Below are 27976 nucleotides of genomic sequence, written 5' to 3'. Positions count from 1 at the left end.
GGCTACTATTAAAAAACAAACAGGGAATTACGAGTGTTAGTGAAGATTATGAGAAATTGGAACTATTCTTGTGCACTGTTGGGACTGTAAAATGGTGCAACTGTGATGGAAAACAGCATGGCAGTTCCTCAAAAAATTAAAAATAGAATTACTATGTAATCCATCAAACTCATTTCTGGATATGTATCCAGAAGTATTCAATGCAGGACCTCAGAGAGATATTTGCACACCTATGCTCATAGCACATTCAGGATAGCTAAGAGGTGAAAACAACGCAGATGTCCTTGATGAATAAATAAAATATGGTATATACACACAATGGAATATTATTTAGCTTTAAAAAGGAAATAAATCCTGTCATATGCGACAGTGTGGGTGAACCTTGAGGATATTGTGTTAAGTGAAATAAGCCAGTCAAAGACGAATACTGTATGCTTTCACTTATATTAGGTATTATTACTGAAACACCAGGGATGTGTTCTAGGTTATGCTGCTTGCTGCACAGAAAGCCAGTTGCTGAGACGATGAGTTTTGCCAGAGAAGGAGGTTTTAATTGGGTGCTGTAGCTGAGGAGAGGGTAACTCAGTCTCAAATCCATCTCCCTGGCTGACTACAATTAAGGGCTTATATAGCAGGGAAGAACTGTAACTACATGCAGGAAAATAGGAATTAGGGAGAGATAAGGAAGAGAAGTTGGTCAACAGGAAGCAGGAGGTCACTTAGGCAATCATGATGGGTTGAGGGGTTTGAGGTTTCATTGTTTAGATGCAGTGATCTGGTACGTTTCAGTTCCTTGATATCATCTGGGAGACCTGATGGTTGGTTTCCTGAGAAAGGAACTCAGATAAGACAAATGTAACTTTTTCAAGTTTTAAGACTGGGAGGGTCAATTTCTATCTTTATTCAAAAGAAACTATAATGGTCAGTTCTATGGGACAGTTAGGTTGTTGGTGTCAGTATCAAAAATTATAAATTCATAGAAACAGAGGTAGAATGGTGGTTACCAGGGAATGAAGGGGAGAAATGGGTTGTTGTTGTTTAATGGGTATAGAGTTTCAGTTTTGCAAGATGAGAAGGTTCTGGAGATGTTTCACAGCAGTGTGAATATACTTAACACTTCTGAACTGTACACTTAAAAATGGTTAATATGGGCTGAGTGTGGTGGCTCATGCCTGTAATCCTAGTATTTTGGGAGGCTGAGGCAGGCAGATTGCTTGAGCTTAGGAGTTCAAGACCAGCCTGGGCAACATGGTGAAGCCTCATGTCTACAAAAAATACAAAAATTAGCCAGGTGCAGTGGGATGCACCTGTAGTCTCAGGAGGCGGAAGTTACAATGAGTTGAGATCATGCCACTGCGCTCCAGCTTGGGTGACAGAGGGAGACCCTGTCTCAGAAAAAAAAAAAAAAGTTAAGATGGGAAATTTTTATGTATTTTCTACCACAAAATGTGTAGACAGAATAATACAACAAATCTACATGTATACAGCTTCAACAATTATCAACTTATAAACAATCTTATTTTATTTCTGTCCTCATCTAACACCTTGTCTCTTGATTAGTTGGAAGCAATTGATAGAGTTTTTGAGCTCTTAGAGTGAAGGGGTGGACCCTTAACATAGCTGGAAATCATGGGAAAGCTAGTGACTTGTGTGAATCCAGAAGAAAAGTGGTACTAGTAAGTGGAGTGATATGAAGTCTTTATAAGGAAAATCTAGAAACAGGAAATATAATAACTTTAGAGTATCATTTTGGGGTTTCCAAGTATCTAAGAGGCAGATTAAAGAAATGGAAGTGAGATAGTTTTTTGAGACCAGACTTTGTTCTGAAATCAGACTTAAGATACAAATGTGCATTTTTTACTTTGATAATTAGAGAATGAAGATCTTGTGTATTCTAAAAAGTTCTCTGTTTTTCCTGTAATGTTGATTGCAGGAGGATAGTCCAGGGCTGTGTGGTTTGTTTTATAAGTAGCTACTTTTATCAAGAATAATTAGCAGAGCATTTGGGAAGAGTTTTGGCTTTTCTTCCCTGAAATCAAAATATAACTATTTAGAAAGCTTTTATTGTCGCTTATAAATGGAAGGAGTACTTGTCACTTCCAAATGACAGGAAGAACCATAGAGCACTTCTACAGTTTGATTTATATCTCTTAAGTGTCATGTTCCTGTGCGGGAGCTGTAGTGGTTGACAGCCTGGTTCCTAGAACTGAGAGGTGAAGCCCGCTGAGCTTCTGGATTGGGTGGGGACTTGGAGAACTTTTGTGTCTAGCTAAAGCATTGTAAATGCGCCAATCAGTGCCCTGTGTCTAGCTAAAGGATTGTAAACACACTAATCAGCACTCTGTAAAAATGTACCAATCAGCACTCTGTAAAATGGACCAATCAGCGCTCTGTAAAATGGACCAATCAAGCAGGACGTGGGCGGGGACAAATAAGGGAATAAAAGCTGGCCGTACCAGCCAGCAGCAGCAAGCAGCTTGGGTCCCTTCCGCGTTGTGGAAGCTTTGTTCTTGGCTCTTCTCAGTAAAACTTGCTGCTGCTCACTCTTTGGGTCTGCACTACTTTTATGAGCTGTAACACTCACCTGGAGGGTCTGTGGCTTCATTCCTGAAGTCAGTGAGACCGTGAACCCACCGGGAGGATCAAACAATTCCGGACGTGCCAACTTTAAGAGCTGTAACACTCCCTGCGAAGGTCTGCGGCTTCACTCCTGAAGTCAGCGAGACCACGAACCAACCAGAATGAAGAAACCCCAGACACATCTGAACATCTGAAGGAACAAACTCCGGACACACTATCTTTTTTTTTTTTTTTTTTTTTGAAATGGAGTCTCGCTCTGTCACCCAGGCTGGAGTGCGGTGGCGCGATCTAGGCTCACGGCAAGCTCCGCCTCCCGGGTTCACACCATTCTCCTGCTTCAGCCTTCCCAGTAGCTGGGACTACAGGCGCCCGCCACCACGCACGGCTAATTTTTTGTATTTTTAGTAGAGACAGGGTTTCACCGTGTTAGCCAGGATAGTCTCAATCTCCTGACTTTGTGATCCACCCTCCTCGGCCTCCCAAAGTGCTAGAATTACAGGCGTGAGCTACTGCGCCTGGTCAGGACACACCATCTTTAAGAAGTGTAACACTCACCGGGAGGGTCCGCGCTTCATTTTTGAAGTCAGTGAGACCAAGAACCCACGGGAAGGAATAAATTCCGGACACAGAACCGTGACTGGGACCATGTGAAGTGGGGACTTCACATGATTCCAATAGGAGATCGCACCACTGCACTCCAGCCTGTGCGTCAGAGTGAGACTCTGTCTCAAAAAAAAAAAAAAAAAAAAAAAAAGAAAGAGATTAGATGCCCCTTGCCATGCAGAAAGTTAGGGAAATAGTGTTCTAGTTACAGGAAGCTTTTAGGCAGTGCTGAGCTTGATGAGTTCAAAGAATCAAAAGAAGTCCAGTGTGTGGCTGGAACACACTGAAGGAGGGGAGGGGTGACAATGAGATTGTCAAGTTGAGCACAGACCAGCCTTGTAAATCATGTTAAAGAATTTAACTTTAAGTGTTTTTGTAAATAATTGAAATATTTTAAGCTGGGTAATGACATGGTCTGTTTTATGCTTTAAAAAAGATGGTTCTTTTTTGATTTCAGATTGGAAAGGACTAAAAGAGAAGCAGGACACGACTTAAGAGGGAAGATATTCGGGCTGGGCGTGGTGGCTCACGCCTGTAATTCCAGCACTTTGGGAGGCTGAGGCAGGCGGATCACTCGAGGTCAGGAGTTCGAGACCAGCCTGGCCATCGTGGCGAAACACCGTCTCTACTAGAAATACAAAAATTAGCCGGGTGTGGTGGCACATGCCTGTAATCCCAGCCACTCTGGAGGCTGAGGTGGGAGAATTGCTTGAACCCAGGAGGCAGAGGTTGCAGTGAGCCAAGATTGTGCCATTGCACTCCAGCCTGAGTGACAGAGCGAGACTTCGTCTCAAAAAAAAAAAAAAAAAAAGAAAGAGGGTAAGATATTTAGTGCTCAGAACCAGTGCTGGCTTGGGTTAAGGTAGCAGCAGCGGCACAAGGAGTATGTAGATGTGGGAAATGTGTTTGTGTTTGGAGTACCAGGACTTAGTGGTGGGAGGTGAAAGAGAGGCGTTATGAATGACCCCCGGGTTTCTAGTATGAGCAAACTGATATGCCACCTCTCGAGGGTGTGTGTGTGTGTGTGAGAAAAAGCATGTGAGAGAGCATACATATAAGAGTAATTGAGTCTGGAATTCAGAAGACTGGCCTGGGATAGAGATACACATTTGGGGGGAGTTGGCATGTAGAGAGATTTAAAGCAATAGGAATGAGTGAGAGAGGGAGAGAGAAGAAAGAGGGCCTAGCACTGTGATTTCATTTTTCTATTGACTCTGTTTTTTGAATTTAATTTTAGACATTAGAATAGATAAGGTTAGCTTTCCAAAATCAGTCTCATTTGTATTCGGCATTCAGATAAACTCATATATTTGCATATATTATTGTTATTATTTTTTGATACAGGGTCTCGCTGTGTTACCCAGACTGCAGTGCAGTTGCACCATCACAGCTTACTGCAGCCTCAACTTCCTGGGCTCAAGTGATCCTTTGGCCTCAGCCTCCAAGTAGCTGGGACTATAGGCATGCGCCACCATACCTGGCTAATTTTTAAATTTTTGTAGAGACAAGGTCTCACTATGTTGCCCAGGCTGATCTCAAACTCCTGAGCTCTAGCAATCTTCCTGCCTCAGCCTCCCAAAGTATTAAGATTATAGGCGTGAGCCACCACGCCTGACCAGATAAATTTTCAGAATGGGAAAGGGATGGAGTTGCAGCTTTCTGGGAGGGTAGGGGATGAAGGAGTAGAGGAGGACTCAGGGATTTATGTGGTCTCCAGATTACTTCATTTCTGGAGTAGTTTACAGTATGCCCATTATGAATGTGTCTCATCCTTTATGTGTGTAGTGGAGAAAAAAGGTTGAGTTTCTGATCCTCAAGGTAAAGTCGATATTAATAGTTAACTAAAGTTTCCTACATTCTGGCCCCTATCTGCCTGTCTGCATATCCACATTCATACCATTCCCTTCCAACCTCCATGCATGCTGTTTTCTATCATCATGGTCCTAGACCTAGAATTTCCTTTTTCATTGGACAAATATTTTAGGTCTCTGTTTCAGTCAGAGCTTTCCCTAGTTCCCCCAGGCAAACTCTGTATTTGTTTCTGTTTCTAGTGTTCATTGGTTATAGCAATTATTGTATTAAATTTGCTGTTTCTTGGTTTGACTGTCTCCTCAAGAAACTAATCTTTTTGACATGAGGGATTTTTTTTTTCTTTTAAAAAAGCACTTGAGGGCCAGGCATGGTGGGTTTTGCCTGTAATCCCAGCACTTTGGGAGGATGACTTGAGCACAGGAGTTCGAGGCTGCCTTGAGCCGTGATTGTGCCACTGCACTCCAGTCTAGGTGACAGAATGAGACCCCATCTCTTTAGAAAAAAAGTGTTTCAGTGTTTGAATTACCATCCTGTCTTTCTTTGAAGAGCCAAATACAGCTTACATCATCTTCAGGTAAAACAAAATTTAGGGTTCAGAAACTATATGGCATAAGAAAATAGTTGAACTGGGCACAGTGTTTCATGCCTGTAATTCCAGCACTTTGGGAGGCCAAGGTGGGCAGATTGCTTGAGCTCAGGAGTTCTTTCAGACCAGCCAGGGCAACGTGGCAAGACCTTATCTCTACCAAAAATACAAATAGCTGGTCATGGTATGTGCCTGTGGTCCCAGCTGAGGCCGGCAGGATTGCCTGAGCCCTGGAGGTCAAGGCTACAGTGAGCCAAAACTGTGCCACTGCACTCCAGCCTGGGCAACAGAGTGAGATCCTGTCTCAAAAAAATAAATAAATAAAATAAAATAAAAAATAAAAAAGAAACAAAATGGTTGAAAATGTCTTTCCCATGCCTTTGGAGTCTAGGATGAGGTTTAAAAAAAAATGTGTTTCTCAGGTCTATTTTAATAGGTAGTTAAAATATACTTTAAAAAATTATTATAAGGCAGTCTCTAAAGTGTATTCTTATCCCCAAAGCTTGATATTACTTAAAAGAAAGATGTATTACTGAAGGAAATAGAAATTGAATTAATGGAATTGTTTTGGTTATTTGAATTGCCATTTCTGTAGGGTATTTGAGAATTGTTAGGTCTTGTTTGGAACCATTGATAAACAGAAGATAGAATAGAAATATTGTACTGCCTCATTGTTCCTAGTCTACAAATTGATTTATGCTGTTATTCAGTTTATGTCTCTCTTTCTCTTTTTTTTTTTTTTTGAGGTGGAGTTTCGCTCTTGTTGCCCAGGCTGGAGTGCAATGGCGTGATCTTGGCTCACTCCAACCTTGACCTCCTGGGTTCAAGCGATTCTCCTGCCTTAGCCTCTCGAGTAGCTGGGATTACAGGCATGTGCCACCATGGCTAATTTTTTTTTTTTTTTTAAGTAGAGATGGGGTTTCTCCATGTTGGTCAGGCTGATCTCGAATTCCCGACCTCAGGTGATCTGCCTGCCTGGCCTCCGAAAGTGCTGGGATTACAGGCATGAGCCACCACACCTGGCCCAGTTTATGTCTTTTGTATGTACACAGTAAAAAGTAGTAGTCTCTTTCTTTACATAGTAAAAAGTAGCAGTTTCTTACTTTTTTTTTTTGAGACAGAGTCTCGATCTGTCGCCCAGGCTGAAGTGCAATGGCACTATCTGGGCTCACTGCGACCTCTGCCTCCTGGGTTCAAGCAGTTCTCCTGCCTCAGCCTCCCAAGTAACTGGGACTACAGGCACACGCCACCACACCCCAGCTAATTTTACATTTTTAGTAGAGATGGAGTTTCACCATGTTGGCAAGGGTGGTCTTGAACTCCTGACCTCAAGTGATCTGCCCACCTTAGCCTCCCAAAGTGTTAGGATTGCAGGCGTGAGCCACCGCGCCCAGACTAAAAAGTAGCAGTTTCTATACCCATCATTATTATAATGTTTTACTGCGTTGATATGTATATAGTGGAGCTTTTTTGTTAGATTTGAAGAAAAAATTGGACGATGAATTCATTCTAATTAAAAAAATAGGCCAGGCACGGTGGCTCACACCTGTAATCCCACCACTTTAGGAGGCCAAGGCAGGCAGATCACCTGAGGTCAGGAGTTCGAGACCAGCCTGACCAACATGGTAAAACCCCGTCTCTACTAAAAATACAAAATTAGCTGGGCATGGTGGCAGGTGCCTATAATCCCAGCTACTTGGGAGGCTGAGGCAGGAGAATGGCTTGAGCCTGGGAAGCAGAGATTGCAGTGAGCCAAGACCGTGCCATTGCACTCCAGCTTGGGCAGCAAGAGCGAAACTCTGTCTTAAAAAAAAAAGGCCGGGCGCAGTGGCTCATGCCTATAATCCCAGTACTTTGGGAGGCTGAGGCAGGGGGATCACCTGAGGTCGGGAGTTCAAGACCAGCCTGACCAACATGGAGAAACCCCGTCTCTAATAAAAATACAAAATTAGCCAGGCGTGGTGTTGCATGCCTGTAATCCCAGCTACTCGGGAGACTGAGGCAGGAGAATCTCTTGAACCTGGGAGGCAGAGGTTGTGGTGAGCCAAGATCGCACCATTGCACTCCAGCCTGGGCAACAAGAGTGAAACTCCGTCTCTAAATAAACAAATAAATAACCTAAATTTTAAAATAAAAAAATCTTTGACACTCTACCTTTCAGCTGTCAGTGGAAACCACTTAGGTAGCTATGAAGCAATTCTGCAAATATTTTATGGAATTCTATATTTGCCAGAGTATAATAGAAAAAACTAGGCCGGGACTGGGCGTGGTGGCTCGTGCCTGTAATCCCAGCACTTTCGGAGGCCGAGGCGGGTGGATCGCCTGAGGTCAGGAGTTTGAGACCAGCCTGACCAACATGGTGAAACCCTGTCTCTACTAAAAATACAAAAATTAGCCAGGGGCTTGTAATCCCACCTACCTGGGAGGCTGAGGCAGGAGAATCACTTAAACCCAGGAGGTGGAGGTTGCAGTGAGCTGAGATCACACCATTGCACTCTAGCTCCTGGGCAAGAGAGCGAGACTCCATCTCAAAAAAAAAAAAAAAAAAAAAAAAAGAAGTCCGGGTGTGGTGGCTCACACCTGTAATCCCAGCACTTTGGGAGGCTGAGGCAGGTAGTTCAGCTGAGGTCGGGAGTTCGAGACTAGCCTGACCAACATGGAAAAACCTCGTCTCTCCTAAAAATACAAAATTAGCCAGGCGTGTTGTCGCATGCCTGTAATCCTAGCTACTTGGGAGGCTGAGGCAGGAGAATCATTTGAACCCAGGAGGTGGAGGTTGCCGTGAGCCGAGATCATGCCATTGCACTCCAGCCTGGGCAACAAAAAGAAAAACAAAAAAAAAAGAAAAAAAACTAGGCTGGGCTCAGTGGCTTATGCCTGTAATTCCAGCACTTTGGGAGGCTGAGGCAGGAAGATCACTTCAGTTCAGGAGTTTGAGATCAGCTTGGGCAACATAGCAAGACCTCATCCTCTACAAAAAATAAAAAAAATTAGGTATGTTGGCATGTGCCTGTGGTCCTAGCTACTCTGAAGGCTAAGGCAGGAGGATCTCTTGCGCCTGGGAGATGGAGGCTGCAGTGAGCCATGATCATACCACTGCAGTCCAGCCTGGGTGACAGAGTGAGACCCTGTCTCACAAAAGAAAAAAAAAAACAAAAACTACTTGAGTCAGCGAGTACATAGAACATTTCAGAGCCTCAGCTTGTATACTGCATGTTATTCTGAAACTACAGATACCACGTAGCTTTCTAATGAAAAAGTTTTATTTGTTTCTTCCTTTCTTTTATAGGAATATATATGTCCCAGATGTGAATCAGGCTTTATTGAAGAAGTGACAGATGATTCCAGGTATTGTACAAGCTCATGAATAAATCAGACATTCTATTATCAAAACTATTTTCTCTCAGCATGGACTGAGTAAGTTGAATTTGTTTTACAACTTACACTCTACAGAGAGAGCGAGAGTGAGAGAGAGAGAGTGAGTGCATGAGCTTGCACAAGAGAGGGCAGAAGAATGGGAGAGGAAAAAGAAAGAAAAATGGGAAAATTTGGAAAGTGATATCATAGCAGATGTGGTGATACGCACTGCTCCTGATTGTATGTGGCATTCCATGTACATCTGTACGCATGTCAGAGTAAATCTGGTAAGTTTTCATTTATTATCTGAGACTTGGGGCTTCTCTTAGATTATTAGTTGGTTTTTAGTGACCACTCTGCTGTCTGAAGGTAAACTGCTGTTATACCTCTTTGGCGGGTTAGGGAGTGACTTCTGACAAAGATACCTAATCAGGTAAACAGGCTGTTCTAGCCAGGAAAACCAATTGTTACTCTGCTTTGAGGAGGCCTTGAATCTCTTGTTCTTATTAAGGTTATTTGGCCAGTGTGGTGGCTCACGCCTGTAATCCCAACACTTTGGGAGGCTGAGGTGGGTGGATCACCTGAGGTCAGGAGCTCAAGACCAGCGTGGTCAACATGGTGAAACCCCGTCTCCATTAAAAACACAAAAATTAGCTGGGTATAGTGGCGGGCGCCTGTAATTCCAGTTACTTGGGAGGCTGAGGCAGGAGAATCACTTGAAACCGGGAGGTGGAGGTTGCAGTGAGCCAAGACTCCAGCCTGGGCAACAAGAGTGAAACTGTGTCTCAAAAAAAAGAAAAAAGAAAAGATTATTGCTGTCAAACTTAGGCCATCTTTCCAGGGTGATATTAATATATGGGTTTGTAATGCTTGGAATTTGTTCTTATTGGCCTTCATAAAGGTATACAGCTGATAAAAAGGGGAAATATTTCTGAAAGTGACTATTACATATTCCTTTTTTGTTTATGTGAACAAAACTATAAAATCTTTTTTCTTTTTTCTTTTTTTTTTGAGACAGAGTCTTGCTCTGTTGCCAGATTGGAGTGCAGTGGTTCGATCTCGGCTCACTGCAACCTCTGCCTCCCAGGTTCAAATGATTCTTGGGCCTCAGCTTGCCCAGTAGCTGGGACTACAGGTGTCTGACACTATGCCCTGCTAATTTTTGTGTATTTTTAGTAGAGATGGGGTTTTGCCGTGTTGGCCAGGCTGGTCTTGAACTCCTGACCTCAAGTGATCCGCCTGCCTTGGCCTCCCAAAGTGCTGGGATTACAGGCATGAGCCACCGTGCCCAACCTAAAATCTTTTTCTTTTTTTTTTTTTTTTTTTTGTGACGGAGTCTCACTCTTTTGCCCAGGCTGGAGTGCAAGGGCACGATCTTGGCTCACTGCAATCTCTGCCTCCCAGGTTCAAGTGATTCTCCTGCCTCAGCCTCCCAAGTAGCTGAGATTACAGGCATGCACCACCACGCTTGGCTAATTTTTGTATTCTTAGTAGAGATGGGGTTTCACCGTGTTTGCCAGGCTGGTCTTGAAGTCCTGACCTCGTGATCCGCCCATCTTGGCCTCCCAAAGTGTTGGGATTACAAGTGTGAGCCACTGCACCTGGCCTAACTTAAAATTTTAATAAATTTTAGAATAGCATTGATAGGATGGCCTCTTTTGGCTAAACAAAATGGCACATTTGTTCTTTTGGGGCTATTTGGTTAAACATTCGTCTGAAAATTGAAGAAGTACCGACTGGTCAAAAAGAATCTGTAATCTGAAGCCTCTTAATCTTGGAGTGACTTTGGAGATTTTAATGGCAGTAGGTAATTCCTTTACTGTTACTGTTGGCAGAATCTAAAGTTGAAGGTCCCTTCCACAACCAGGAAAAACTACACATTTTACAGTATGTACTATTAGTTTTACTTTACTAATGATTGGTGATTATATGTGTAAATAAGCTGGAGCTTCTGGGGCAATATGTGGCATGGGATCTATTTTGATACAGTTAAATGTCATCTTGGTTTTAAATAGTACAATACCAACACTAAACGTGTAAGATTAGCATGACTGCAAAATTAGCAATTTTGTGTGGATGGCATGCTAACTTGGGATAGCTTTTTGTTTGTGCCATTATAATTGCATCAAATAACTTATTTCAGGCACTTATGCTCTGCATGTGCTAATTAAAAGATATATTGGTTGTGGGAGAACAATTAATGGGCTTATCTTTTGCCAACTTTTCAAGTAGTAACCCTGGTTTCTTTAGGCAGATAGTACTTTTATGCAAATACAGTTATAAATGAGAATGATTAACTGTAGGATGAATCTTTGTCTAGCAGGGAACTGTGGATTCTGTGGTTTTTGTTCTTAATTCTTTTATGTGTCTTTGTAGATCAAAGGTTGTCTTATATAGGTGCTATTGGTAGCAATTTACTCAAATACAAAGACTCTGTGGTTTGAAAGAGATTAGTGTTTTAAATGAAAGACGAAATCTTTTTCTTAGAATCCTTGTCTTAGAGGCAGTATGATATTTCCTTCTATAAAGTTCATAAACATTTGCTGATTTAAATACTTAGCAATTGCAGTGGTAAGTAGTGGAGGGTAAAAACCAGTAAGAGGAGGGCCTTGCATGTAAATATTAGATAATGGGCTCCATCTGCTCTTAAACTTCCATGTAGAGGAGCACCTTGTAAGTTTTCTTAAGCTTTGTAACATTTCTCAGAACAATGTGGTGGTTTTTATTATCCCTTCTCTATGATTAGCTCTATTATTCTTTAAAGGAATTTTAAGGAAAGGGAACGGTGAGGTAGCTTCAGGGAGAGCAGAACCCCAGAAAATAAGAGTTGCGGTTTCAATTACCAAGGATGTTTGAATCCCTGAAACTGTGTAGTAAAGGCAGGAAGGAAGAGTCTTGGAAGCCTGTCTGGGCTTGAGCAATCAAATGGATACATAGCCACTCAATGTAGTTTTTTATGGTATGTGGTAGTTCAATTAGCTGTTTATTTAGCATAGATGTACAAGTACTTTTGGGCTTGTTATACATTTGGAGTGATTTTTACAAAAGCGTTTTTCTGAAATTAATGCAGGTATTAAATGGTTTCTTATCAGGGAATAAGGCTTGAGAATGGTTGCATAAAGAGTGGCATTAGCTTTGCTTTTTCACTTTTGGTTTCAGACTAACTAGGGTGTGTTTGTTTCCTCAGTGAGCTCAGCACAATGCCTGGATTGGTATTGTAATCCTACAAATGAAAACTATTTGTAGTAGTTTGTGAACTTACCATTGGGGTGAGTGTTTGTATGTTTGTGTGCTTAAGTGTGTCTCTTGAAGTAAAAGTGGTATCCAGCAGTTCCTGTGATTCTTTCCATCCCCTCTTCCCGGATGTGTTAACTTGTTTTCTTTGTTCTTTGCAAATTTCATGGGGACAATGGGATTTAATATTTCTCTCCACTCTTCAGGGTCTTTGGGAATAGATAGTTATTTTATCATTTTCACATGTGATTAATTCAACAACTTTTGAGTGTCAATATAGGATATTGACATTGCAGGATTTTAAAAGGTGATAGTACTGTGTAATGTCTGACACTTAAACACTCTACATGTATTTGAGGCATTAATAAATTGCAGTCTTTGCCTTCTGAATTTATATTAATGAAGGAGGGAAATGGGTTGAAATGGATGTGGCAAATCCTAGATATTTATAATACAAGGTAGGTTTTAGAATCAAAGTGAGAGTGCAGAAGGGTGTGGAAGAGTCTTATTTGGTTGGTGAGTTCAGAAGGGCTTGATGGAGGAGGTAGCATTTGAGATGGGTCCTGAAAGGTGGGTAGGGGGAGAAATATTTATTGAATCCTTTTATAATGTTTTAAATACAGTACCAGGCCCCTTACATTACTACATTTAATCATTCCTAAGAAATATTAACTATTGTAGCCTCAAATGTTGTGTTCATCTGGTGGTTGAATGGTTTTTTAGTGAAACATTTTGTTTTGTTAGCGTTCTTGAGGATAAATATTTGTCTTTTGATAGGTCAAATCCGAATTGCATTGCTGCCTGTGGGTCCTCCTTCCTTCTCTATGGTGGCTTCTCCAATTTTTCACTGGATTTAGCCTTGAAAACCACTTGATTTTGTGGTTTATGATACTTTTCATAGATTAATTCACATGCCAGTTATTCATAATTTCCTTTAATAGGTGTTGTGTTGGGATGAGTTATTTTTCCTTATTGGGCTTTGTTCTCATTATGCCATTCTATATTTAGCTTCTGGGAGGGGAGCTTGTTCCTGGGAATAGAATCACCACTCATTCCTTTTCTCTTTAGTTTTTTAGGTGGTGGCGGCAGTCGGATAGACAATACCACAACAACACATTTTGCAGAGGTAAGTTTTCCTTTAGCTGTAGGAATTCTTTAAGAAGTGGTTAGGTGTTAAAATCATGGCAGATACTAACTTTCCAGTGTGGCACAACATCAGAGTTTAACTGAATGTATAAGAAAAAATGTGGGCCGTAGTAACCCTTGGGAAGATTTGTGTTTTCAGTAGCTGGGGCTTGGGCGTGTTACCTTTGATAAACCCTTGATTAGGAGAAAGTAATAGCCTCAAACTGTATTCTTTTAAACTGGTAGTGTTTTTAATTCTTGTTTTCTACTTTGTTATTGTATATACAGTGTGAGAATAAGAAGCTTTTGCTGTTTTTGAAATAACAGTGTTGCAGACTCTGCTTTAGTGGTGTGACAACCAGGTAAAGTGCAGGCCAGGATAAGTTGTCGAAGTCACAATGAAATAGTCTTCAACCTTGTACAGAGGTACTGATTTCCAGGGCTTACCTCTAGTCAACACAGTAGTTTGGTGTAGATTAAGGATGTTTACTTGCCTTTCAGATCCCAAGATGGGGTCTGTAAATAATTTCTATATCTTCTTATAATGTGGCGTCCATATTTTTTGGGAAAAACAAATCTTAACTGTGATTTGAAAACAGGGCATTAGTCTTCATTCTTGAATACCATTTTATATTGAATCCAGAGTAATTTTCTTTTTTCACTTCGTCCATTGACCTAAAGTCTCTTTAGTTGTGTTTTTTTTTTTTAAAAAAAGAAACCATTGTAACTGTTCTTAAGTGTATAATTCAGTGGCATTAATACTCTTTGTTTTTAATCATTTAGAGACTACAACCCAGAAGGTACCAGTCAGCCTATAAAAAACACTGACGTTTTTCTTTTGCTTGTTTGTATGTGTACCCTATATTGCCATACAACTTGTTCAGCTCTAGAAAGCTGACAGATGCTAAAAGGAAGAAATAAGTTAAATCCCATAATCAGGATTTCTTTATGTTTTAGGATCACATTAGCCTTTTCCAGAGATAGCCGAAGTGCCTAGAGAGATAGCAAAATATTTCACTGTTTTGTATGTAAATTGAAATTGTACTAGTAGTATATTTGAAAAGTGATATTTAATAAGAAGCCTGTAAAACCCTAAGCTTCTCTCCCTTATTATTTGAAAATTATTTTAAGACCTGTAGCCCCCACATTTTGATGTTGTTAGATTTATCAACATTGTCTGGGTAATGGTCCTGTTCTATTTAGGGTGGTTTTTCTGCTTATGGTCTGTGCTACTTCTTAATATACAGTATTAAGAGTTTTGGTTAACTCTGAACTGCCCGGGTTGATTAGAGTGATTCCAGACAGATCGTGTTTTGAACTTGCATTTTTATTTTCCCATTTTAATGGATTGAAAAACATTATTTAATATGTGTTCTGGGCCAGGCACAGTGGCTCACGCCTGTAATCGCAACACTTTGGGAGGCCGAGGTGAGCAGATCACCTGAGGTCTGGAGTTCGAGACCAGCCTAGCCAACATGGTGAAACCCCATCTCTACTAAAAATACAATAAATTAGCTGGGCATGGTGGCATGAGCCTGTAATCCTAGCTACATGGTAGGCTGAGACACGAGAATCGCTTGAACCCGGGAGGCAGAGGTTGAGGTGAGTCGAGATCGCACTACTGCACTCCAGCCTGGGTGACAGAGCGAGACTCCATCTCAAAAAAGTAAAATACAATAAAATGTATTCTGTTTGCCAGTCCTGGAAGCCTTTATGATTTCAGTATTCTTTCCTCTTGTGTGTGCTATTTGTGATAACACAGATTGTCACTTACTGATTAGGCATATGCAGAAGAAGAAATTTCATTTGATTTTTCTTTAGTGTTCTCTTTTAGGTAATGGAAATAGATCGGTCTGCCAATTTTGTAGGTATGACTCACCAGAAAGAGATGCATTGAGTAAGAAGAAAAACAAATATATGTAGTCAGTTTCCTAACTTTAGTAATGCTAAATCCAACACTGATGGCATGAGTTATCCTTCAGGTGTTAAAGTATTTTTGCTGATTCATAGCTTGTAACTTCGTGTTCTTTAGATGTTGCCAGGGATTTTTAATAAATTAGCTAAGAAGTGTGTGTGTGTGTGTTTTTAAGAGATGGGGCCTTATTGCCCAGGCTGGACTCGAACTTCTGAGCTTAAGTGATCCTCCCACCTCAGGTTCCCTAGTAGCTGGGATTACAGGCAGGTGTCACTGTGCCTGGCTGAAAGTATATACTGAATGTTTCATACATAGCACTCTCCTAGAAATAGGGGCAGGAAGTAAATGTCATGGTTGCCTTGCCTGAAAGGAACTTAATTTTGTTGTGGAGCAAGTGCAAACACTTAAGAAAACAAGGAAGGCTGGGCGTGGTGGCTTACGCTTGTAATCCCAGCACTTTGGGAGGCCGAGGCAGGTGGATCACGGGAGGTTGGGAGTTCAAGACCAGCCTGGCCAACATGGTGAAACCCCATCTCTACTAAAAAATACAAAAAATTAGCCAGGCATGGTGGTGGGCGCCTGTAATTCCAGCTACTTGGGAGGCTGAGGCAGGAGAATTGCTTGAACCCAGAAGGCGGAGGTTGCAGTGAGCGGAGATTGCACCACTGGACTCCAGCCTGGGCAATAAGAGTGAAACTCTTATCTCCAAAAAAAAAAAAAAAAAGGAAAAGTGTACAGAGTATAATAAATTTATTCTGGGGTATATGTAACAAGTATAGTAGAAGGAAGAGTTAAGGTGGGCCAGGGTCTTGAGGAGAGGTCATATAACAGTGATTAAGAACACAGCCTCTGGAACCAGATTGCCTGAGCTCAAATCCTGTGTCTGCCACTTATTGGCTGTGTAATCTGGGCAAAGTTACTTAGAATCTCTCAGTGCCTCTCTTGTCCTTGTCTGTAAATTGGGAAATAATCATCCTTCCCTCATAGGGATGTTACGAGGATTAAATGAGTTAATACATGCTAGGTGTGTAGACCGCAATGTGCCTACCATCTAGTGAGTGCTTGATACATTTTAGCCATTATTAAGACTTCATAGTGAAGTTAGAACTTGCACTGGAGCCTTGAAGAGTAGGTGGAATTTAGATAAGCAAAGATGTGAAAATTATCTCAAAATAGTATTCATAAGCTATAAGGTTTTATGCTCATGTCCCTGAAGAAAAAACTTAGAAATAAAATTATATATAGAAACTAAAGTTGTTTTTCTTTTCCCTGCTTTAGTTGGTAATTTCGGCAAAGACTTATGCTCAGTTTTGCTCTATTTTTCTTTAGCTGGAGCTGCTTGTACAATGAAGTGGTTATTTTCTATAAGTAACATTTACTGATAGCTGAATTCTTAAAATACTGTCTATATTAGAAGAGGCTTATTCCAAGAAAATTTCTGTCAAAATCAGTATTGACTTTTTTTTAAAAAAATGAGACTGGGGTAGGAGATAAGAGACTAATGGGATAGAGAGAAGGTAGGGGAGGGTTGCCAGTTACATGGGAGCAGTGTTTGAATAATGTGTGAGGGCCGGTGGAGAGTGAATCTGAAAATATTGCTAGCAGTTTGTAGAGAGAAGACATTGCTATACTAAGCTTCCTGGTGGTAATCTAGAAAGTGAGCCCCATAGCTACCTGAAGGTTTCATTGATTACTTGCAAACTTCTGACCACGACCTGGTGCCAGTGGGTCATCTGATCTTAGAGTCTCAGCTTACCTGAATGGATTGCTTCAGTGCAAGAGTGGCTCTGGCTGCTGCCTCAGATTGGGAGAAAATAAGATACATGGCTTTCTGGAAAAAAGAGCTCTCAGGTATGCACAAGAGGGCAGGGTGCTCTGAGCTGATTTATATGTATTTAAATAAAATTTGTTATTTGTTTTTGTTACATAAGCAGCATTATAGTGGCAGTAAAAAATTTAAAAATATGTATCTTGAGTTTCACTTTTTTTTTTTTTTTTTTTTTTTTAGACGGAGTCTCACTCTGTTGCCCAGGCTGGGGTGCAGTGGCGCAATCTCGGCTCACTGCAACCTCCGCCTTCTGGGTTCAAGCGATTATCCTGCCTCAGCCTCCTGAGTAGCTGGGACCACAGGCGCGTGCCACCACGCCTGGCTAATTTTTTATATTTTTAGTAGAGACGGGGTTTCACCGTGTTAGCCAGGATGGTCTCGATCTCCTGACCTCGTGATCTGCCCGCCTTGGTCTCCCAAAGTGCTGGGATTACAGGTGTGAGCCACTGCGCCCGGCCGAGTTTCACTATTCTAAGAGCTCCCTTTTCCATACATTTCCTTTCAGATTTTGTCCTAAGGCATAGTTACTGAAAAATAACAACCTTAAGCTCTTTTTTGTTTGTTTTTTTGAGACGGGGTCTCGCTCTGTTGCCCAGGCTGGAGTGCAATGGCACGATCTCGGCTTACTGCAACCTCTGCCTCCTGGGTTCTAGTGATTCTCTCACCTCAGCCTCCCGAGTAGCTTGGATTACAGGCCCCCGCCGCCAAACCTGGCTAATTTTTGTATTTTTGGTAGAGATGGGGTTTTACCACGTTGGCCAGGCTGGTCTGGAACTCCTGACCTCAGGTCATCCTCTCGTCTTGGCCTCCCAGAGTGCTGGGATTACGGGCTTGAGTCACCGTGCCTGGGCCTAAGCTTTTTTAAAAATGAGAAATATTGGCCGGGCATGCAGATCACTTGAGGTCAGGAGTTCCAGACCAGCCTGTCCAATGTGATGAAACCCTGTCTTTACTAAAAATACAAAAATTAGCCAGGTGTGGTGGCGGGCACCTGTAATCCCAGCTATTCGGGAGGCTGAGGCAGGAGAATCGCTTGAACCCAGGAGGCGGAGGTTGCAGTGGGCTGAGATTGTGCCACTGCACTCTAGCCTGAGCAACAGAGCGAGACTCCGTTTCAAAAAATAAAGAAATATCCCATATTGTCATTACTTGATTATAGCTTTATGCATTTTTTAGCAAAATACTTCTCATTTCTCATGTGCATACCTCATAACTGTTTAGAGTTGCTGTCATAAGAGTATATTGTATTTCTGCCTCTAAAAATTTACTTGGTATTATGTCATAAACCTTTTACTTGTCTCTCTATAGTTATTAGAATTATAGCTGGACGTGGTGGCTCATGCCTGTAATCCTAGCACTTTGGGAGGGCGGAGGCAGGCGGATTGTTTGAGCCCAGGAGTTCAAGACCAGCCTGGGCAACATGGTAAAACCCTGTGTCTACAAAAATAAAAATAAAAAGCCAGGTGTAGTGGCATATGTGTGTAGTCCCAGCTACTCGAGAAGCGGAGGTGGGAGAATCTCTTGAGCCTGGGAGGCAGAGGTTGCAGTGAGCTGAGCTCGTGCCACTGCACCCCAGCCTGGGTGTCAGAGTGAGACCCTGTCTCCAAAAAAAAAAAAAAAATTAGGACTTCATATTCTTTAATGGCTACATTATATTTATTAAACTATTATCCTGTGTTAGGCATGTCTAGTTATATATGATGGTTGATCATCGATCATACTTCCTTTACCTGAGTCTAGAACATACTGAGAAAACATAGAACACCAGACAGATGGATATAAAAATTTAATTTTTATTCAGCTGAATTGGAACACAAAGTTGAACTGTGGTCAAATGGACATCCTAAGTTTATACAGGATGACCTACCTGAGAATTAGAGGCTGCAAAGCAGGCACACATAATCAGAACAATGTACTTTGCATTTGTGCAACTTCCTAATACATGAACTCCACTTGCTGGAGAAATGCGAAATCACTAGAGATTAGACTTTGCTATTCACTAATCAGCTACATCATTCCTCTGTTGAAAAGTACATACAATATGATGCCCTTTACATAAAATTCTAGAAAATGCAAACCACAGAAAGATCAGGGGTTGCTTGGGGATGGGAAGGGGCAGGAGGGAAGGATTACAAAGGCACACGAGGAAACATTTCGGGGTGATGAGTATCTTCCTTACTTTGCTTTAATGTTTTCACAAAATCGCCTGTGAACTTTTTCAAGATTACATTTCTAAGGTTAATAATTATAAAATTATTTACCCTTAATTGACTCATCTTTATACACTCTAATATTATTTTTTGAGATATAATTCATATACTACGTAATTCACCCTGTTAAAGTGTACAGCTAAGTGGTTTTAGTATATTCACAGAGTTATACAACTATTACCACTGATTTAGAACTTTTTCATCATCCCCAAAAGAATCCCCATACACATTAGTAGTCACTACATATTTCTCCACAGTTCTCTCAGCCCTAGGCAACCACCAATCTATTTTCTGTCTCTATGGATTTGCCTATATAGGATATTTGTTATAAATGAAATCATGCAATATGTGAACCTTTGTGACTGACTCTTTTCTAATTAGAATACTGTTTTCAAGGTTCATCCATGCTGTAGCATGTATCAGTACTTCATTTTTATGGCTGGATAATACTACATGGTATGGATATTCCACATTTTATTTATTCATCAGTTGATGGACATTTAGGTTGTTTACACTTTTTGCCTGTTATGGATAATAATGCTGCTGTAAATATTTTTGTACAAGTTTTTGTGTGATCATATGTTTTTAATTTTCTTGGTTATATAACTAGGAGTGAAATTGCTGCGTCATATGGTAACTGTTCAACTCATTGAGGAACAGACCATAATATTTTAAGAAGTGCTGATGTGATCATGGTTAGTGTAGAGCAAGTTCTGCCAAATGGAAGATATTGTCCATCCTGTTTTTTATTTTGAATGTGTAAATAGTTCACCCCAAATATTTTCAGAAATACTGTCATTATACTTACATTCAGAGTAATGTTTTCAGTTTTTCAAGGCAAAACTTGTCAAACTGTCTCTGTGATTCTTTAGACTGTTTTAGCAAAACTCTATGATAGTGTTCCCTATTAGTTTTTACTTATGTAAGCTGTGTCCTGAATACCCAGTTTTGTTGTATGAGCTATTTTTTTTTTCTTTTATGCTTATCTAAGTCTACTCAGAGACAAATGACCTGAAGCTATTTTTATCCTTAGTGCTGATTTGGTATAAATTTGTGAGGTGTGCTTTTCCATCCTGTGTTCTTTGGTCAGGGTACACTATTATTTTGAGATTAAAATAGGCCACAAATACATTGACTGTTACTATTAATTTGCACTAATTTGCACTTTGTATACTAGTAGGAAAATGCCTCATGCTGATGTTGAAGCTGTTTTTAAGCATGGATCCTTTAGAAATTTTGTATATTATTAGGTGTGGTAACAATTTATAGTCATCTAAAGTATGTTAGTATCAAAGCAGAGTATTATGAACTTGGTGCTTGACTTTTCTGCCAGTCAAGATTTTAAATATTTCATTTTTATATTATAATGAAACTAATGGTTACTTTGAGAGTTGTCTTCTGTGAGCAAATGTTGTGGAATTGTATATAGTAAGGGAATCATAGATTTCTTATAATTCACCTTAGTGAGATAGATGATTGAGAACATGGAGGAGTCTGCTCGTACTTTTTCACTTATTGAAGACAAGTATAGTTTTAGGTTTTTAAATGTCGTGTTTACTTTGGAATTTTGGGTCAAGAGAATTCTTGTGTTCTAGACCGTTTTTCAGACTAGAAACCAGTGATCTCTAATAGATGAAGACTATAATTAGAAAGTAAAGGGAAATAAGGCAGATTTGATAAGAAGCGCAAATGGCAGTTAAAATGAAAAGGTGTTTTATGTCACCAGTATTTAGAGAAATCTTTTTGTTTGGAGACAGAGTTTCACTCTTGTTGCCCAGGCTGGAGTGCAATGGCGCGATCTTAGATCACTGCAACCTCTGCCTCCCGGGTTCAAGCAATTCTCCTGCCTCAGCTTCCCGAGTAGCTGGGATTACAGGCATGCTCCACCACGCCCAGCTAACTTTTTGTATTTTTAGTAGAGACGGGGTTTCACCATGCTAGGCTGGTCTTGAACTCCTCACCTCAGGTGATCCACCCGCCTCAGCCTCCCAGAGTGCTGGGATTACAGATGTGAGCCACTGTGCCTGGCTGAGAAATCTAATTGATGTTTTTACTCTGCATATTACTCTTTGTTCTTCAGCTTATATATTAGAATTTTTAAAACTTTAAAAAAATGTTGGTCAGGCTGGGTGCAGTGGCTAATGCCTGTAATTGCAGCATTCTGGGAGGCCGAGGCAGGTGGATCTCCTGAGGTCAGGAGTTCAAGACCAGTCTGGCCAACATGGTGAAACCCCATCTCTACTGAAAATAAAAAATTAGTCGGGCATGGTGGCAGACACCTGTAATCCCAGCTACTCTGGAGGCTGAGGCAGCAGAATGGCTTGAACCTGGGAGGCGGAGTATGCAGTGAGCCAGGATGGTGCCACTGCACTCCAGCCTGGGTGACAGAGCGAGACTCCTTCTCAAAAAAAAAAAAAAAAAATGTTGGTCAGAGTAGGGGTAAATGTAAGCATTTATACTCTGGTAGGAGTCTGAATTGGTACAGTAGCCCCCCCCTTACCCTGTGGTCAACCATGGCCTGAAAACAGGTGAGTATAGTACAATAAGATATTTTATTTTATTTATTTTTATTTTTATTTTTATTTTTTTGAGACAGGGTCTTGCTCTGTTGCCCAGGCTGAAGTGCCATGGAGTGATCTCGGCTCACTGCAACCTCTGCCTCCTGGGTTTGAGTGATTCTCATGCCTCAGCCTCCTGAGTAGCTGGGACTACAGGCATATGCCACCATGCCCGGCTAATTTTTTAATTTTTTTAGTAGAGACAAGGTTTCACCATGTTGGCCAGGCTGATCTCGAACTTCTGGCCTCAGTGATCCCCCCCACCGCCTTAGCCTCTCAAAGGGCTGGGATTATAGGCTTGAGCTACTGCGCCCGGTTACAATAAGATATTTTAAAGTGGGGCACAGAGGCTCATGGTTCAATCCCAGTACTTTGGGAGGCCGAGGCAGGAGGATTACTTTAAGCCAGATGTTTGAGACCAGCCACAAAATTAGACCTTATCTCTAAAAAGAATTTTTTTTTTTAATTAGCTGAGTGTGATGGTACATCCCTGTAGTCCTAGCTACTTGGGAGATTGAGGTGGGAGGATCACTTGAGCCTAGGAGATTGAGGCTGCAGTGAACCATGATCACGGCGTTGCACTCCAGCCTGAGCGACCGAGTTGAGACCTTGTCTCAAAAAAAAAAAAAAAAGGCCACATTCACAAAACTTTTATTATTATATATTGTTATAACTGTTCTATTTTATTATTAGTTATTGTTGTTAATTTCTTACTATGTCTAAGTTATAAATTAAGTTATAAGTTATAAATTAAACTTTACTGTAGGTATGTGTGTATAGGAAAAAACATAGCATATAATTAGGGTTCTGTATAGCTCACTGTAACCTTGACCTCATGAGCTTGAGCTCAAGATCCTGGGTTCAAGTGATCCTCCCCACTCAGCCTCCCGAGTAGCTGGAACATCAGGTGCTTGCTACCACACTTAGCTAATGTTTAAATTTTTTGTAGAGACAGGATCTCACTCTGTTGCCCAGACTGGTCTTGAACTCCTGGGCTCAAGCGATCCTCCTGCCTTGGCCTCCCAAAGTGCTAGGATTACAGGCATAAGCCACTGTGCCCAGCCTGTTTTTGGGTTTTCTAGGTACACAAATTATTAAGAGTTCAGCAAATTTTCTGTATACTAAGGTCAATATACAAAAATCAGTTGCGTTTCTGTTAGCAGGAATTAACTATTAAAATATAGAATTTTAAAAAAAAGATACTAAGGCAATTAGAAAGTCAGTTCAATAGGAAAATGGACAAAAGACATGAAACAAGATAAGACATAAAAGAGAAAGAATAGAGATTTAAAACTGATTTAATTGAAACAACTGATGAGTACTGAAAAAGTAAACTCAGTGTGATTTAACACTGAGTTTAAATTTAAGAAATAAATGTGGCTGGGCGCCATGGCTCACGCCTGTAATCCCAGCACTTTGGGAGGCCGAGGTGGGCGGATCACTTGAGGTCAGGAGTTTGAGACCAGCCTGGCCAACATGGTGAAACCCCATCTCTACTGCAAATATAAAAAATTAGCGGGGCGTGGTGTCACATGCCTGTAATCCCAGCTTCTCGGGAGGCTGAGGCAGGAGAATGGCTTGAACCCAGGAGGTGGAGGTTGCAGTGAGCCGAGATCGTGCCACTGCACCCCAGCCTGGGCAACAGAGCAAGACTCCATCTCAAAAAGGAAAAAAAGAAAAAAAAAGAAAGAAATGTCTGGATTTCTAAAACACCAAAAAAAAAAAAAATGTTGGGGGAAAGAGAAGACATATGAATGGCTGGTAAATATTACATGACAAGATGTTTAGCCTTATTGGTATATTCGTATCAGGGAAAGCAAACTAAAACCACAATGACAGGGTGATGTCAGCGAAAATGGTAGAGTAGGACTTCTGTGGGTCATCCCTCTGCAGAAACACCAAACACCTTGACAGAAAAGTCAGAATTTAGCTTATCAAAACTCTGGAAAGGTAATCAAAGGTTTACAGCAGCCAAGCAAATACTTCGCCAGAAGAAAGGGCACTGAAACAAGGTAAGAGATCTTTGTGGCATTTTAGCTTACCCTAGCCTCACCTCCCTTCCTGGTATGGCTGCAGTCTTGAAGATGACAGCCTGTGTTCCCCATGCTGGTGCCTGATTCCAGAGAGTGGACACTCTTCCTCCTGAGGGATTCTGTGTTCTGTTTTGTCCTTTCTCCAAAGGACTGCCACCAGGGGCAAAAAACAAACAAAAAAACCAAAAAAAGAAAAAAAAAAAACAGGGCAAACAATAAGATATTGAAAGCCTGAGAGGAAAAGCTGTAGAGTGAGTTTTTGTAGAGGAATAGGAGCTTTGAAAAGCTATTGTGGATGAGAAACTAGAAAGCCAAGTGCACAGCTCAGGGCAGTATGTGTGCTCAGAAAAGACCTGAGAAGGCCATTAGCTTTCACCTCTGGCTTGTCTTTAGGTTCAACACAAACAGGAAGTGAATATTAAGGTAGATTTATAAAGGCCCTGGGTAAGTTTTGAAGGAGTGCCCCAACAGCTAATCAGTAGAGACCTGGCGAGCATTTTACTTTTCTTTTTCTTTCTTTTTTTTTTCTTTTTGGTTTATTTGTTTTGAAATGTGGTCTTGCCTTGCTCAGGCTAATCTTGAACTCGTTGGTTCAAGCGATCCTTCCACTTCAGCTTCCTGAGTAGCTGGAATTACAGGCACACACCACTGTACCCATCTATTTTTGTTTTTATTTTTTACACATTATAAATGTTCAGTTTTTTTAAAAAAAATTACGAAGCATGTGAAGAATCTAGAAAATATGCTTCATTCACAAGAAAAAAGAAATGAACAGAAACTACCCCGAGGAAGCACTAATACTAGAATTACTAGACAAAAACTTTAAATCAGCTGTCTTAAGTATACTCAAAGAGCTAAAGGACACCATGGACAAAGAAGTAAAGGAATTCAAGATAATAATGTCTCAACAAATAGAGAATATCAATAAAGAGAAATTTTTAAAAGTAGGCAAAGAGAAATTTTGGAGCTGAAGGTTACAATAATTGAAATGAAAATTCACTAGGGGAGCTCAACAAAAGATATGAGCAGACAGAAGAATCAGCAAACTTGGAGATAGGTCCACTGAAATTATATAGTTTGAAGAGCACACATTTAAAAGACTGAAGAAAAATGAACAGAGTCCAGGAGATGTGTGGGATACCAACATATATATCATGGTAAGGAGAGGGAGAAAGGTGCAGAAAACATGTTTAAGAAGTAATTGCCAAAACCATTTCAAATTTGACAAGACATGAATATACACATCAAGAAGCTCAGCTAACACCCAAGAAGGATAAACTCAAAGACATCCATACAAGACACATTATAATTAAAATTTCCGAAGCCAGAGATAAAGAGAGAATCTTGGAAGCAGCAAGAGAGAAGCAACTTGTAAAATATAAGGGATCTTAAATAAGATGAATTTCTGTTGATTTCTTAGCGGAAACCATGGAGGCTAGAAGGCAGTGGGATAACATATTTAAAGTGATGAAAGACAGACCTGCCAACCAAGAATTCTAAATCTGGCAAAACTATCCTTCAGGAATTAAGAAGAAATCATGACATACCCAGATAAACAATAGCTGAGGGGGCTTCATTGTTAATAGACCTGCCCTGTAAGAAATGCTAAAAGGAGTCTTCAGGCTCACCACAGATCTATTAAATTTTCTTTTTGGCATAGGACCGAAACATGCATTTTAATTAAACATTCGTAATTTTTCTTACACAGCAAAACCAAAAGCCCCACAATGGAAAATCATTTTCTGTTCACTGATTGTTAAAAACTTTTTTTAAAAAAAGTCCTGTGACATCAAGTGCTTGCCAGGATGTGGCACAGTAGAAACTCTTAAACACTTGGTGGGTGTTTAAATTGCTACAACCAGTTTGGAAAACAATTTGTCATTACCCAGTAAAGTTGAAGATGTATAGATCATGTAATAGTTTTACAGACCAAAAATATAGAAACTCTGGTACCTCTGCAGAAGAAGACATACAGTAATATTCACAGTGGCCATTTGTAATATAAAAAACTGTAAACAATCCAGGTGTTTATTGATTGATTTTTCTAACATGTGACTTATTTCTGGTCTTTACTAGCTTTGGGGCCATTTGGATCACACGATGTTTTTTCAAGATTTTAGACCCTTTCTAAGTAGCAGTCCACTGGACCAAGATAATAGAGCCAATGAAAGGGGTCACCAGACTCACACTGACTTCTGGGGAGCAAGACCTCCACGGTTGCCATTGGGTCGGAGATACAGATCTCGAGGAAGTTCTCGTCCTGACAGATCTCCAGCTATTGAAGGGTGAGTTGTTTTATTTTAAGTTCTTTTTAAGGTAGTTTCAATGAAGGACAAATTGGTATAATCTAATCTTTATAAGGGTCTCATACTTATTACCTTTGTGGACAAGATGGACATATGTAGAAAGGATGAAAGTGAAGCTAAATTGAATGTTAGTACTCACCCGATGATAAACCAGAGAGTGAGAAATGCTATGTCTCTGATTAACATTTTTATTAATGGCTCAGATTAATTTATAGATGATATGTGTCTCAGTCCATTTTGTGCAGCTATAGCAGAATACCTGAGACTGGGTGATTTATAAAGAACAGAGATTCATTTCTTATATTTCTGGAGGCTGGGAAGTCCAAGGTTGAGGGATCCACATCTGGCGAGGGCCTTCTTGCTGTGTCATTCCATGTTGGAAGGCAGAAGGGCAAGAGAGCATGCATGAGCAAGAAAGAAAGGTGCCACACTCATCCTTTTATTAGGAACTCACTCAACAATAACTAATCCACTTCCAGGATAAAGGCATTTAATCCACTCACAGGAGATTCATCTCTTAAAGTCTCCACCTTTCAACACTGCTCCACTGGGGATTAAGTTTCCAACACATGAATTTTTGAGGAGGGCACATTCAAACTATAGCAGTATATTTATCAAAATTTCAAAAGGGTATCAAATATATTAGGCATTAGGATTAAATATTTCAACAGATTGGAACAGTGGACTTAACATGAAATTTAATCAAGTATCTGCTTTTTGTGAAGAAAGGAAAAAAATTTAATAGGATAAATATGAAGTCTTGTGACTGTAAAAACATTCATGTAATAAATGTTTGTTGAGTGTCTTTTGTATGGGACACTGTACTAGACACTAGGAACACAATGATGAGTCAAATAGATGGTTTTGCTCATGGATCTCATTTAGTTGGAATAATAAACGTTAATTTTAAGTGTTTACCATATGCAGAGGACTGTGCTTCATGCTTTATCTGCTTTATGTTGTTTAATTTGTGTGAAGTAATAGGTGCTATTGCTGTTTTCATTTTATAAAATAATTAACTGAGTCTCAGAAATAAAGTAACAGCCGTTGGTGGATCTAAGACTTGAATCTAGGGCTATATGAATCTAGTGCGACATTGTCTTATATGGTAGCTGCTAGCCACATGTAGCTATATGTTTACATTTAAGTTAACCAAAAGTTAATAAAACTCAAAATTCAAAGTACCTCAATCCCAAATAGCTATATTTTGAGTGCTCATTGGCCACATGTAGCTAATACTTATCATATTTGACAGAACATATTATAGAAAATTTCCATTATCTTAGTTCTATTGAACAGTGCTGTTCTAGAGCCTACACTCCCCCTTTCCCCCAACACACACCTTCTAGGCTTTATTAACATTTTACTATACTTGCGTTATTACATATCTATCCATTAGTGTTTCTTTGTTAAACTTGTTTGCTTTTGGTTCCTAATATATGCACTATCATACTAAGAAAGTTTAATTTTATTCATAATTTATTAGGGGCTTTTAATTAAGAATGACTAATGATTTTGTCACATGCCCTTTGCAGTCCTATCAAAATGACCTTAGAGTTTTTCTCCCTTAAACAGTTAATGCATTTTATTAACAAGTAGGTTTTCTAATGTTTTCTAGTGTTTTTATTCAAGCTGCTTTGTCAAGGAGCACTAAAACCTCTTTTTTAGGGGTCGGGGTTGGGGAAACAGGGTCTCACTTTGTTTCCCAGGCTAGAATGCAGTAGCAAGATCATGTTTCACTACAACCTCAAACTCGGTGGGCTCAAGCAATCCTCCCACTTCAGCCTATGAACTAGGTAGGACTACAAGCATGTGCCACCACGCCTGGC

At 40.4% G+C, this 27976-nt stretch overlaps 1 protein-coding gene across 6 annotated transcripts in view, besides 1 other annotated feature; it reads left to right on the top strand.

Annotated features, from left to right (window-relative positions):
- The window catches only part of RNF115 (ring finger protein 115), an 85228-nt gene that overhangs the window by 26259 nt on the left and 30993 nt on the right, over positions 1 to 27976 (top strand). For 2 of the 6 annotated variants that reach the window (NM_014455.4, XM_047418028.1), the window contains exons 2-4: positions 8871 to 8929; positions 13241 to 13298; positions 25918 to 26126. In NM_014455.4, coding sequence (NP_055270.1) covers positions 8871 to 8929; positions 13241 to 13298; positions 25918 to 26126 — 326 coding nt within the window. Of the gene's footprint in view, positions 1 to 2467; positions 2695 to 3640; positions 3763 to 8870; positions 8930 to 9034; positions 9226 to 10773; positions 10826 to 13240; positions 13299 to 25917; positions 26127 to 27976 lie in introns of those variants that run through there. The other 4 variants (XM_047418024.1, XM_047418025.1, XM_047418026.1 and 1 more) reach the window with 4 other exon arrangements.
- Positions 595 to 795: a silencer, noted in NCBI's record as "peak399 fragment used in MPRA reporter construct". NCBI's record gives its function as "represses an SCP1 promoter by STARR-seq MPRAs in K562 erythroleukemia cells {active_cell/tissue: K562}" and the evidence as "EXISTENCE:reporter gene assay evidence [ECO:0000049][PMID:32103011]".

The sequence above is a fragment of the Homo sapiens genome, chromosome 1 (assembly GCF_000001405.40).
Source record: "Homo sapiens chromosome 1, GRCh38.p14 Primary Assembly".
NCBI classification, from domain to species: domain Eukaryota; kingdom Metazoa; phylum Chordata; class Mammalia; order Primates; family Hominidae; genus Homo; species Homo sapiens.
This window is presented reverse-complemented; position numbering and strand designations above follow the sequence as displayed.